A 13,222-nucleotide genomic window follows, 5' to 3' on the forward strand; every position below is an offset into this window, starting at 1 on the left:
GAATGCAATGAACTCCTGATTCCCCAGGTCACCTACAGGATATATGTCCAATGGATGGGGATCTCCTGCCTTCCAGAGAATTTGAGGGGAAGAAATGACCTTTTCCTGAGACAGGACCATCTCAATTTAAAAAAAAAAAAAAAAGGAAAAGAAAAACAATGAGCTCAGGAAGGGACAAAACCAAGCTCTTGGACCTTGCATTTTTAGGATATGTGATCCTTTACCCAAAAATAATGATAGCTAACAGACATGCGGCATTTATCATATTCCAGGCACTATCCTGATACTTTGCACACCAAATAGAATGCAATCCTCACAGCAGCCCAATGATGTACTGTTATTATCTCCAGCTTACAAACGAGAGAACTGAGGTGCAGAGAGGTGACGTGACTTAACTCATCCCAGGCTTTCCAGGAGGAGGTCTGATTCCAGATCCTCTGTCATGAGACATTGCAAAGCCCATCCTCACAGCCCTAACTGTGGAATAACCTTTCCAAATTTGCCTTTGTCTGCTGTTGTGCTTGCCTAGCCCTTGCCACTCACCCTTTCTCCCTGCAGCCCCCGACAAAAAGCAACCCCCACCTGCCACATGCCTAAAGCTTCTGTCAAGATTTTCACAGCAAGTCGCTGGGCAGAGTTTTCCTCTCTCCTCCTCTCTTTCTCCTTTTCCTCTCTCTCATTCTTCTCGGTTGCCTCTCCTTTGTGTTTCTCAATGTCTTCTATTTCCTATCTCTGATTCTGTCATGTGTTTCCTATTTGGTCTGACTGCCTCTGTGTCTGCTTCACGCGCGCGTGTGTGTGTGTACGTGTGTGTGTGCGTGTGTGTGTGTGTATCACAAGGCAAATGGAAGCAATATACCTTCTGACAGCCCCCCTACACACATACACACATACACACTCACACACACCATTCAGCCAGAGAGATATTTGCTGCCAGCATCAGCAAACAGCACTAAAAAAAGAATAAGGTCACCTTTGAAAGACCCGGAGAGAATGTGAGTGCAGTCAGATTAGGAAAGCGCTTGTCTATTCTGGGATATCAGGAAGCACTGCTTACCCAGCCCCACCCAACCTACTGCCAGCCGCCCCTGCTGCTGATCTCTCTGTCCTATAATTCCCCAGATGGATCCCTGCAGAGACCCCTCCAGTCCGGGATCCCCACTCTCGTGGTAGGCTCCCTCAGACGCAGCCCCACCATGGTCCTTCGGCCTCAGCAGTTCCAATTCTACCAGCCACAGGGGATCCCCTCCTCCCCCTCAGCCGTGGTGGTGGAGATGGGGTCCAAGCCTGCCCTCACGGGGGAGCCCGCCCTCACGTGCATCAGCAGGGGCAGTGAGGCCTGGATCCACTCCGCGGCCAGCTCCCTCATTATGGAAGACAAAGAAATCCCCATCAAGAGTGAGCCTCTGCCAAAACCGCCCGCATCTGCCCCACCATCCATCCTGGTGAAACCAGAAAACTCAAGAAATGGCATCGAAAAGGTAGGATCAGAGTGACATTGGGGGCCCAACTCTTTCGATCCCGTACTATGCATAGTGTCTCAGCTCAGAGATTTTAGTGTTGGTGAACAAGGAACCAAAATTGCAGCCTCGAAAGAATCCTCACACATAACACTCCTCCTCCCCAACTCCCCACTGAGCCATGGCCAACATCCCCAACATCACCCACGCCCTCCCTACATGTGTTACTGATTCGCCTTTATGTTTCCTGAATATTTTATACATCTTTTGAGGCCCAAAAGTGGCTTGAAAAAAAAGCATGACTTTGGCATTAGATGAATCTTGCTTTGAATTCTAGCTTTGCTGCTTGCTAGCTGGGTGACTTTGGTCAAAATACTTCACCCTTCTGAGTCACTTAGTTTGCATAATCTGTAAAATGGAGGTAGAAAGAGTAATGGCCACACAGTAATGGAGTGGAGATTAAACGAGATATGTGAAGTGCTTACATAGGGTTTGACACATAATTATGCATTGTATAAAAGGGGCAACTGAGGCACAGGATAATGTAAGTGACATCGAGGTCACACTGAATGATAATGACTCCAACTACCTTATTGTGACCTCTGTGGCAGACGTCAGATCTGTTAACTTCTAGTCCAGGATATTTCCCACTAGAAGACGTGAGAGTTTTTGTAAAAGGCTTATGTTCTCAATAATATCCTTGAAGCAGGAGGAATAGTGGGAAGAGAGGACAGTAAGAAAGTTAGGTGATGCTTATTGCTGTCTTAATTTATGAACATCACCATCATCACATCATCGCCATCACCACCTCCATCACCACCGCCATCAGCATCATTCCACCATCATCGTCCATTCCCCTCAGAACGGAAAGAGGATGCGATTCCCCCATTGGTTAACCAGTTATCGAATACTAACAAGCTGGCAGGCACTGTGCTGAGTACTTCATGTGTCCCATATATTTAATCCTGACAACAACCCTCTCAAATAGGCATTAGTTTCATCCTCATTTTAAAATTAGGAAATGGCAGCTCAGGGAGTTAAAGAACATTACCCAAGACCGCACAGTTGACACATACGTGTGGAGTAGAATCCAGATCTGATGCAAAACTCATGCTCTTACTGCTAAGCTATCAGCTCATAGGGAAAGGTATTGGAAAAAGCACTGACATATATAAAGGTTGGGAGTTCTTATTCTGAATTATAGAAATAATTCAGAGTTTTCTAGGCCCCAGTTGCCCATTACTCCAAGCTTTTAGATACAACTATAAGCATTTCATAAATGCCCAGACCTTGGCTAGATATTAGGAGGATCAGAACGTATGAAGAAACTCAGATCTTAGTGGGGGATACTAGGGTTGCATTACATGGAAGAAAGACATCATTCCTGAGCAGTACCACAGAACGCTTTATTAGGCCCTGAGATAGAGACTGGCTAAAGCAAATACTGTACCTATGGGTGCCTAGCAGATATATAACAGGCTAGGAGATGTGAAAGGAAAGAGGAAGAGGGGGAATTGGCATAAACTGGAGACCTTGCATCTCATATAAAGGGGGCACTGCTTCTCAGGTCCAGCCAGCTGTTGTCAGAATGAGCCATAGGCCCAGTGCGTCAGAGCTTTGATTTTTTTTTTAAGAGACATATGAAATTCTGATTTTTATATGCAATCTCCCAATTTTTATGTGTTGGCGAGTCGATCAAACCCTCAAACATTCTGCAGGCTAAATTCAGCCAGCAGGTGTCCAGTTTGCAAACTGTGCTCTAAGGATTTATAAGGCCATTATGGAAATCTCTAAATGGAGTCATCAGGAGAGTGGCCTCAAAGAAAAGGAAAAACTTGAGATTGGCCTTAATAGTACGTAGAGAGGAGAGAGGCAAGGTAAATTTCTTTAATCTTCCAGAAGGGATCATACCCTCTTGCCTCAGGCTGTTTTTATAGGCGGCGGCCTACCCTATTTCTCCCAGATAAGTCCTAATCCTTTTGTGGTTCTCAATTTAAAGCTTCTGGGAAGACTTCCCTGGCTTCTCCACTTCCAGCTGAAGTTAGATGCTCCTCTGCATTCTCAGCATCTTGTACTTCCCCCATCTTAGCACTTGACACTCATGGTAGCCACAGATATTTGCAGAATGAACACATAAATGAGACATTTCAAGTGGGGACAAGCATGGGGAAATAGACATCTCCCACCTCACCTGTGTCCATTTCCTCTCCTTTCTCTTGCAGCAAGTCAAAACCGTGAGATTTCAGAATTACAGCCCTCCTCCCACCAAACATTACACCTCCCATCCCACCTCCGGAAAGCCTGAACAGCCAGCCACCCTCAAGGCGTCCCAGCCTGAAGCAGCGTCCTTGGGCCCAGAGATGACCGTCCTATTTGCCCACCGAAGTGGCTGCCACTCCGGACAGCAGACAGACCTCCGGAGAAAGTCAGCTCTTGGCAAGGCCACAACCCTGGTGTCCACTGCCTCAGGCACGCAGACCGTGTTTCCCAGCAAATGAACCTACGGGTGGCTTTTCCTAGACCCCAAAGAGGTGAATTGCATTTAAATACAGTCTGCCTCCACTGAGGGCATCCTGCCATTCTTTGGGGACTTGAGCATGGGTCCTTGTTCTTCCTATTTCACCTCCAGGAAAGCAAAAGTGGGAGCAGAAATTCCTGCCCTGGGTGGGAGGATAGATGGCGTGGCCTTCCAAACATACAAACATAATGATTTGATGCCACAAAGCTCGCTTACTCAGACCAAGGAGTGAAAAATTGTCGTGCCCACTTTATGCCCCAGCATGGAGTATGTGGCCTCTTGTCATCCCCGTGTTACTGTGTAGAATTTCTATGGTGTCCTAAAGGGGGCTGCAGCAGGGGTGTGACAACGGTGGGATTGTTGGCGTTGCTTCTTTGACCTTACAATATCCTCAACAAGCATTAGAACAACTTCTGCCATCTTCTGGGGCCTGTACACTGGCCACTAGTAGCTGCCATATCTTTTTCCCTCTGTAAAGTCATAATCCTGGCTGCAAAGGGAGGATTTCTGCGCGGGGTGTGAGGTGGATACTTTGAACATTCTGAGAACCCAATAAAACTAGAAGGAGCCAGCTTCCTGAGTATGCTCCACTTAAGAAGGTCAGAGAGATCACTGAGTACCAAATATCAAAGGATTATCATACTTTAAGCTTCTCGATCCATTTTCCCACATATAATCCTATGCAATAGATAAGCAGAAAGCATGTGGCTGTGGATAGGGCCATGTATGGCATTATGGACAATTAATTCATCCTGGCTCTACAGTCTGACTTCAAGAAAACACAGCGTGCTTACAAACAATCTTATATGGGGTTAGGGTTTAGATATATAGTCTGACTTCAAGAAAGCACAACGTGGGCCAGGTGCAGTGGCTCATGCCTATAATCCTGGCACTTTGGTAGGCCGAGGTGGGCAGACCACTTGAGGTCAGGAGTTTGAGACCAGCCTGGCCAACATGATCAAACCCCATCTCTACTAAAAATACAAAAATTAGCCAGGCATGATGGCGCACACCTGTAATCCCAGCTACTCTTGAGGCCGAGGCATGAAAATAGCTTGAACCCGGGAGGCGGAGATTACAGTGAACCAAGATTGCACCACTGCACTCCAGCCTGGGTGACAGAGTGAGATTCTGTCTAAAAAAAGAAAAAAGAAAAAAAGAAAGCACAACATGCTAAAAAACAACTTTATATGGGGTTGGGGTTAGGATCTATATTTGGATATATATTGTTTGCATTGCAATATTCCTGACTTTCCCTGCTTTCTTCTCACTTGGGGCAGATGAGCTATTTCACTCACAAGGCAACAACACCAGTGCGAACATGGCAGCCCGAGGCTGGGGTGGGAGTGCTTCCTAGGGGAAAGCTGCTATAAAAAGGGTAGGACAAAGAAGGCTGGAGGAGAAAACAGGGGAGAGGAGAAGGAGAAAGAGGAGGGGTTAAAGAAAATGTGGAGGAAAGAAAGTAGGCATAAGAGTAAGAGTGAAAGAGGATTGAGGGAAAGCACAGGAAGAGGCTAAAGGAGACAAGGGGTGGGGCAACCTTACATTCCCTGACAGGGTGAGGAAAGAAGGACAGAGCCTGCGATGAAGAATGGGGCAAAATTAGATGACCCCACTAAGATGGAACTGACGTGAGCAGGACCAGCCAGGGAGAGCCTTGTAATCAGGGTAGAGGAGGCATCCCAGGAAGCCAAGGCAATGCTGTGAGACAACCCATTAATTCTCATTAAACTTAATTGTTGTGATTTAACATTTATTGCATGCCCATCAATGTGGGCACTTTAACGCAGAAATAACATTTGCTACTAAGGCTGGGTGCCATAGAAAGAAAGAAAAAGAAAGGAAGGAGGGAAGGAAGGAAGGGGGAGAGAGAGAGAGAGAGAGAGAGAGAGAGGGAGAGAGAGAGAGGAGAGAGAGAGAGAAAGAAAGAGAGAGAGAGAAAGAGAAAGAAAGAAAGAAAGAAAGAAAGAAAGAAAGAAAGAAAGAAAGAAAGAAAGAAAGAAAGAAAGGAAGGAAGGAAGGAAGGAAGGAAGGAAGGAAGGAAGGAAGGAAGGAAAGGAAGGAAGGAAGGAAGGAAGGAAGGAAGGAAAGAAAGAAAGAAAGAAAGAAAGAAAGAAAGAAAGAAAGAAAGAAAGAAAGAAAGAGAAAGAAAAAGAAAAAGATGCAGGGAGGGAGGGAGGAAGGGGCATGTCTAATTAGACCTTTCCCCTAGATAGTTCTTGAAAGTCCTGGGATTCAAAACATGTATCTTTTACACACCCACTCACACACTCGGCAAACAGAATTGTCCACAGACTTTTTCCAGACCTTAATAAAACAAAACAAAACCATACTCCTCCCATAAAATACTGCCATTGTGTCAGACCTTTGGGGCTGGTAGAGCCAACATGACAGCACGTTGTTCTAGCTATCTCAATCACGTTTGGGTCCACATCTCACAAACTTTGGGTCAATATCTGATGTTTGTGGACCCAAACAAACATGAGATATTGACCCATTAGGTCCACAAAATCAACATGCCCAAATCCATGCCTCATTGAACTAAATATAATAATCCAGATGGAGAAATGAGATAAAGTCCCAAGGACAGGGAGGCATTGTGTGATTTGTCAAAATATAAGTACCTATACCTCATCTTTACCCAAAAAGCACTCTCAATGAGTTTAGCAATGTTTAGCAGTCTACTCTACACTCAGAGTGGCACAGATATGGCATGACTGGCCGACCAAATATTTAGTCTATCCCTCAGTGGCAATGTATCCAGTTAATTTTTAAGTTTTGTGGCTGACAAGCAGGGTGCTTAGATGGAATGGAGATGTCCATGCCTTCCAAATGAAATGAAATATTCTTCTCCCACCATCTATTTATTATCTCTTTGGGATAACCTCTCTGAGAGATGCAAACAACTCCAAGACTTGCCACCTCCACTCCCTCCAGTCTCTTCACCCATGTGCAGCATCAAACTCACCCTCTCCCAAAGAAAATCCCATCTTTGTGGAGTTTTAAGAGGGTTTGAAAGGGACAAAGGATGTTTTTTCCAAGTAAAAGTTGGCTTCACTGGCAGCTTTAACTCATTCATTCCACCAACATGCTTTGTAAATTTATTGTTTTATTTTTTGTAGAGATGAAGTCTCACTGTGTTGCCCAGGCTAGCCTCAAACTCCTCGGCTTGGCCTCCTCATGCCTTGGCATCCCAAGTGCTGGGATTACAGGCGTGAGCCACCACACCCAGCCCCAACATGTTTTTAATATTTACTGTGTGCTAGACACAGCAAGGAAGATGATAAACACATCCCCTCATGTAATTTCCACCATATCCCTATAAGGCAGGTAGATTGTCCCCATTTCAGAGCCAAGGAAACTGAAGCTTGAAAGTTAACCACAGATGATGGCAGAGCAAGGACACAGTCTCAAACTGTCTGACTTCAGAGCCCAACTTGGGACTTGCTCCATGAACCAAAAACCCATCCTTGACTTCAGGATGCTGACTCTGGACTGCCAGGAGGCAGCAGAGTGCATTTTTGGCTGCAAATGCGAAAGAGCCTAGAACGCTCGGCTGCGCACAAATACAGTTCAGGTCTTCATTTACCACTTTCTGGCCATGGGATGTCAGGCCAGTTACTTAATCTCTCAGAGCCTCGTTTTCTTACATAGGAATAATACAGTGTAGTGCCAACCTCAATGGGCTATTATGAGGATTATCTGAGATAATGATACAAAGTGACTTAAACAGTGCTGGCATCATGAACACCTAATAAATTTTAGACTGGGATGTTTTTAAGCAAGCAGGCTGTTGAAATTTCCAGTGAAGAAATTCTAACAGAAGGGCCTGCCCAGGACTGTGGTGCTAAAAGGAGACTGACACAGACTAGTCTTGGAAGTAGAACACAGTCTAAGCTGAGTCCTGAAGGAAAAGAGAGAGTCAGATACACAAAGTGGTGGGAAAAAGGGTATTTCAAGCAGGAAAAGATCTTCAGCATTTGGGTTTAAATGTAGCAATGGACCCAAATTCACTTAATACTTAGAGGAATTTATTCCTTTGTGGAACATTCCAGAGATCCCAGGTAGAACCCCAGCCCCTCAAGTCTGAAGGTGAAAATTCCATCCTGTGAGAGCATCACCCCTCAACTAAGGTTCAGACAGTACCTAGGAAGAGTGCCCCTTTGCCCCGTGGTCAGACTCTGGCATCTTGGTGCTATGAAAAGTGCTAAGAGTAGGATTTGATTGGGGGAAAATGGGAGACATCTGAGTGGGGAAGGCGGGTCATGCCCAGCTGGGGACATACTCTGAGGACCATACCTGAGGAAATGGTCCCATTGAGCAGCATCAAGATCCTTACTTAGGACTTGTCTCCTTCCCTGTGTGTGTGGAACCCGCCTCACCTCCTCCACCCTTCACCCATCCCACAGACAGGGCTTTCAGAGCAGGAAGAGTTTAAAGCAGCGCCCCTACCTGTGTCTTGATGAGATGCAGAACTGACTCAAAACATGGCTCAGTGACCTCCAGTGTGTCTTGAAAAGTCAGGGGGTCCGTCCACACCAGGCCTGCCTTCCCCGGCAGCAGCAACCCAGGCGGCTGGATCAGGGTCAAGGCGGCTTCAAATAAATGAACATTCATTCTTCAACATACTGCGCCACAGCAGCCTGCTTCACTCACCCACGTGACCTGCCCCTGAATTAGGCACATTCCCTCCAGAGACTGTGCAGGACCGCATCTCTCAAGTCCTCATAACCCCCTAGAAAGTCGCAGCCGAATACTTAGGGATCAGCTGATCCAGGACACTCAGGACTTAGGAGTGTAGTAAGCCTGGCCTGGGCCCTAGAGAGTCTCACTCAGTAGTTTGAAGGCGGGTTCTGGGTGTCTGTTTTTAACAATATCCCCAAGTGATTCTGATTCACATAAAGTGTGAGGCTCCAATCCACCTTTCTCATACGGCATGGCAGAGCCAACATTCAGCCCTGACATCCAGCAGGAGTGTGGCAACACTGGTTGGTAGAATGTTGAAAGAGGTTTGTACTGATAGGTGAACAGTGGATGCTCTGAGCTCCCCAAGGCCTGCCCACACCCACACCCCGGTCCTTCCCTCAGGTCCTCCCCATCGCTCTACCATCCAGCACCTAAAAGCTCAGGCCAGGTGCAGCTAAGACCTCCAGCAATAAAGCCCTTCTCCATTCCAATTGGCCGGTGCCTATGCCATCCTGGTTGCTAAATATCTTAACTGTGACCCTGGAGTACAGTGTAGGACCCAGAGAGGTCACTCAAAAGCTAAGAGCTCTGCTAACAAGCCCAGCACTCATCCCAGCCCGCTCCTGACCACTGTCCAGCCTTTGACAATCACCTTCACCTGGTCCTTGGCCTAGGAAAGGCGCTGAGTGGGAGGGAGGGCAGCTCCATGCTGGCTGGTCTGCCTTTCTCAGCTAACATCTTCAAAGGCCTCAGCAATGCCTGTGAGCTTCCCAGCTCCTCTGCCATTGGTTTGGCAGGTACGGAAGTTATCTGTTTCCATGAGAGGAGCAAGCATCCATCCTCATCTTCTCACCCACGTCTGACCACACAGGCAGCCACATAGCTTCTGGACTCCCTTCCTGAGAAGTGAACAGCTGTGGCAGGCAGAACGGCAAAGTCCTATCAAGTCTCTCCAGCTGGGACCAAGTGCTTAGCGAGCTGGCACGGGGCAGTGCCGGGCCAGCAGCTGCCGCCACTGATGCTTCTCTTGTTTATATCTTGAGAGAAAAGATTCTCTCTTTAGCTAAGAGAAGATAGTACTAGCACTTCCAGAAACCTCTCATCTGACCATGAAAGACAGTCACTTAGGGAATGTGTTTGGCAGGCAGGACCAAACCAGAGACGTTAACTCCAAATATCCTCGTAGCAAATTGGTGTCATGGAGAATAAATCATACAAGGACATTTTACTTGAAATAGAGCAATGTTAAATGATCGAGCAGACTGTTTTCCAGGCCTAGATTATGTCCTAGACCAAAGCAGAAACAGTGTTCCCAGGTGGCCCTATGCCCACTGATCTACACTTTGACAAATAGAAGGCAGCGAGGTGGGATCTTTTCTGGATTTGGGGCCTCCTTTCTGCTTTTCTCCCCTTTTTATTATTAAATGCTTCACACATATGAAATATATGTCTGTACACATATGTAATTATACAGGATCATAAAAATAATCATATACCTGCCACTCAGCTTTTTTAAAAATAGTAATTGTCAATACCACTGAAGTCCACTGTGTGCCTCTCCCAGTCCCATTTCTTTCTTCCCCTCCCCACAACCTCCCTCACAACCACTATCCTGCATCCCACACTTATCCTTCCCGTGTAATTCTCCCACACATATACCATATGGAATTTTTAGTGCAACCCATAGAGATATTTGGTAAACACTACTCAAAGCAGATATTGCAACCTAAGGCCGTAGATATTCTGCCTGAAGATTTGAGCTCCCATCTGGCTTCTGTGCCTGAGATTCTAAGGCTTTGATTCATTGCTGGGAACTGATTTTGATGCGCCAACATGTCTGGTTTTGAGAATTTCTGGTTTGGAGGAATTTTGTCAAGAATTTTTCCAACTACATCTGTTTTGGGAGACCTTGTTGCTTCTGAATGGGGAAATACAGGTTGTGGCCATGCCCAAATTGCTTGAGGGCTTTTAAGTGATTTGGGGGCTTTTAAAGTAACTCTCTGGGCCTTGCCTGGGACCTCAAGGTAGCCAACCATAGAAACCAAAAGCAGCTTCTCAGAATCTGAAACTGAAATGAGATCTTGCTGCTGCTGCTGCTGCTGCTATCAATCTTTTAATAAATTATCATAAGAACCTTGTGAGGTATGCAGGGAAATGCTTGTTTATTTTTTGTTTGTTTTTTTGAGACAAGGTCACACTCCTGTCACCCAGTCTGGAGTGCAGTGGCACAATCTCGGCTCACTGCACCCTCAACAGCCCCGGCTCAAGTGATTCTCCCACCTCACCCCCACAAGTAGCTGGGACTACAGGCGTGTGCCACCACACCCAGCTAATTTTTGTATTTTTTGTAGAGGTAGGGTTTTGCTATGTTACCCAGACTGGTCTCGAACTCCTGGGCTCTACCGATCTGCCTGCCTCACCCTCCCAAAGTGCTGAGATTACAGGTGTGAGCCACCATGCCTGGCCTGAAAAATGCTATTTTTGCCTCCAGACTACAGATCAGAAAACTGAGACTCAGAATGTTTCAATTCCTTGTTTAAGATCACAAAACTAGTTTGAGGTATAATGGAAACTGAAAAAAAAAAAAAAGCATCTCTGACTCCTCATCCAGCAATAATTGCCATCATGTATCAAGCACCTACTACATGCCAAGCACTTTACATGCTACATACATTGTGTCATTTAATTCTACCCAACCCTATGACAGAAGTACTGCTATTTTCCCATTTTGAAGATTAGAATTGAGACTCAGAGGTCAAATGACCTGTCCAAGGCAATAAGGACTAGAACCCAGGACTCTAAGCCAAAACCTTAATCCCTCTTCTCAATGGCAACTATCAACGTGGTTGAGATTGGAGAGCATGGACAAATGAGATGTGCCGCTGAGTTTGCTAGGATGGGGCTGGAGATGGAGGAGGGTTTGTCTCACAGGGTCAAGCCCTCCCAGAAAAAAACCATGAGGTTAGGTCTTGCTGTCCAACAAGTAGGGGTGAGAAGTAAGATAACTGAGAGTTTTATGCACAGAGAAATCCAAAAAGCAAATCTACCCCTGCTCCAAAAGTTGCCAGACACAGCCAAGCCACTTGAAAAAGAACTGAAGCTTACAATGTGGTTCTGGATCATTGACATCAAAACACAATGATCATTTTGCATTCCCCAGGTCACTCTCTCTTCATGAGATTATTTCTGGTTTTGCCTGTCCTCACTCTAAATGATACAGAGCAGAGTCCCACAAGAAGAGGGATATGATCTCCAAAATGACCCCCACTTCCATCTCCTCTGCAGGAACAAAAGGGCTCAGAGAGCTGACATCTTCTTCCAGTGTTCCTTGCTGGTGTTTATCCGAAGTTCAAATGCAATTTCTTTTGGGGGGTAGATACACACCCACAGATGCAAACTAATTAGGCAAATGGGGTCACTGCTGGATGGACAAGAGCTGCAGCCTGATAAGGACTAAAAGGATGCCAGCCAAGGCCTAGGGAGAAAGGCAAAAGACATCTGCAGAGGCTGTTTTGTGCACTATGTGCATTTTGTGTTAATGCTCTTGGAATCAGTGCTAGCATGACCGACCGACTTAATGAGAGCCATTTTTGATGTCAGGGTTTGACTGCTATAGGTCACACATGTCCTGGAGGCTAGCACCATCCTAATGACCTTCCCATGAGAATCACAACTCCCTGACCATCCAAGAGGATTGTGAAGGCTATTTGCATTCAGGAGACCCTCACAAATAAGTAGAAAGGAAGCTTGAATCAAAATGTACAGAGGCAGCTAAAACAGGCCTGGAGGTCCAAAAAGGAATTCAAATAAATAGTGCCTTCAAAAGGTTGTACCCAGATTCCTGCAAGCCCCACCACCACCTTCTCTCCAATTCCATAAGAGATGTCTTATGTCTCTGTCAAGGAGAGGGTAGAGGACTGCATTGCACGAAGAGGACATGTCAGTCACAGCTTAGATAGCGCTAGCCTCCACGACAAGGAACAACAGTCAAACAGTCAGAAGGGGTGATACTGTTTTGAAGGGAAGGCTAATTTTAGATATCAGAACTACATTTCTAAATATTCTGTTCTGCACATTCTATTTATAAGCTGAATTCTTTTTTAAGCGTAAGTTGTTTTTAGATGTTGGCAAGTTTTGGAGCTTAGGACTTCTTTGTTATGGGGGCCTCCAACAGAGAACTAAAAGCATCAGTCAAGGACCAGCTATGTTCCCAGTCCACTAGAATGTCACAAGATCTGGAGAAGTAATTAATATAATAGCTGGGATGATGAGATTTGGAACTGGATCACCTGGATCTTTGTCACAGCTTTGTTACTAGCTATGTTTCCTTTGGCAAATAACTAAAGAAACTTGGAAAAGTGACACAACCCTAGACCTCGTTTTCTCATTTGTAAAATGAGGATCAGACTATGCACCTCCTAGTAGAGTTCTCAGCAGGATTTAGCAAGTTCAGGCATGTCCAGCTCTGAGTATGGTATTGGGTACATAGAATTGTTCAATAAGTGGTAGCTATTACCATTTATTGGATGTAGAGGCACAATTCAAAACAGAGTACAAT

The 13,222-nt window shown here is 45.8% G+C and overlaps 1 protein-coding gene and 1 long non-coding RNA gene across 6 annotated transcripts in view, besides 1 other annotated feature; one reads left to right on the forward strand and one right to left on the reverse strand.

Moving 5' to 3' along the window:
* The window catches only part of LOC107986458 (uncharacterized), a 131,758-nt gene extending 123,043 nt beyond the window's left edge, over nucleotides 1-8,715 (reverse strand). The window contains exon 1 of the long non-coding RNA XR_001742913.2: nucleotides 8,431-8,715. This is a non-coding gene — a long non-coding RNA (uncharacterized LOC107986458). The remainder of the gene's footprint in view (nucleotides 1-8,430) is intronic.
* The window catches only part of SH3RF2 (SH3 domain containing ring finger 2), a 145,196-nt gene that overhangs the window by 122,166 nt on the left and 9,808 nt on the right, over nucleotides 1-13,222 (forward strand). For 3 of the 5 annotated variants that reach the window (XM_006714757.2, XM_011537568.3, XM_017009136.2), the window contains exons 9-10: nucleotides 1,123-1,481; nucleotides 3,683-3,991. In XM_006714757.2, the coding sequence (XP_006714820.1) occupies nucleotides 1,123-1,481; nucleotides 3,683-3,958 (635 nt within the window). In that variant the 3' untranslated portion in view covers nucleotides 3,959-3,991. Of the gene's footprint in view, nucleotides 1-1,122; nucleotides 1,482-3,682; nucleotides 4,550-13,222 lie in introns of those variants that run through there. The other 2 variants (XM_011537567.3, NM_152550.4) reach the window with 1 other exon arrangement.
* Nucleotides 10,692-10,801: an enhancer, noted in NCBI's record as "active region_23358". NCBI's record gives its function as "activates an Ori minimal core promoter by ATAC-STARR-seq in GM12878 lymphoblastoid cells {active_cell/tissue: GM12878}" and the evidence as "EXISTENCE:reporter gene assay evidence [ECO:0000049][PMID:35858748]".

The sequence above is a fragment of the Homo sapiens genome, chromosome 5 (assembly GCF_000001405.40).
Source record: "Homo sapiens chromosome 5, GRCh38.p14 Primary Assembly".
NCBI classification, from domain to species: domain Eukaryota; kingdom Metazoa; phylum Chordata; class Mammalia; order Primates; family Hominidae; genus Homo; species Homo sapiens.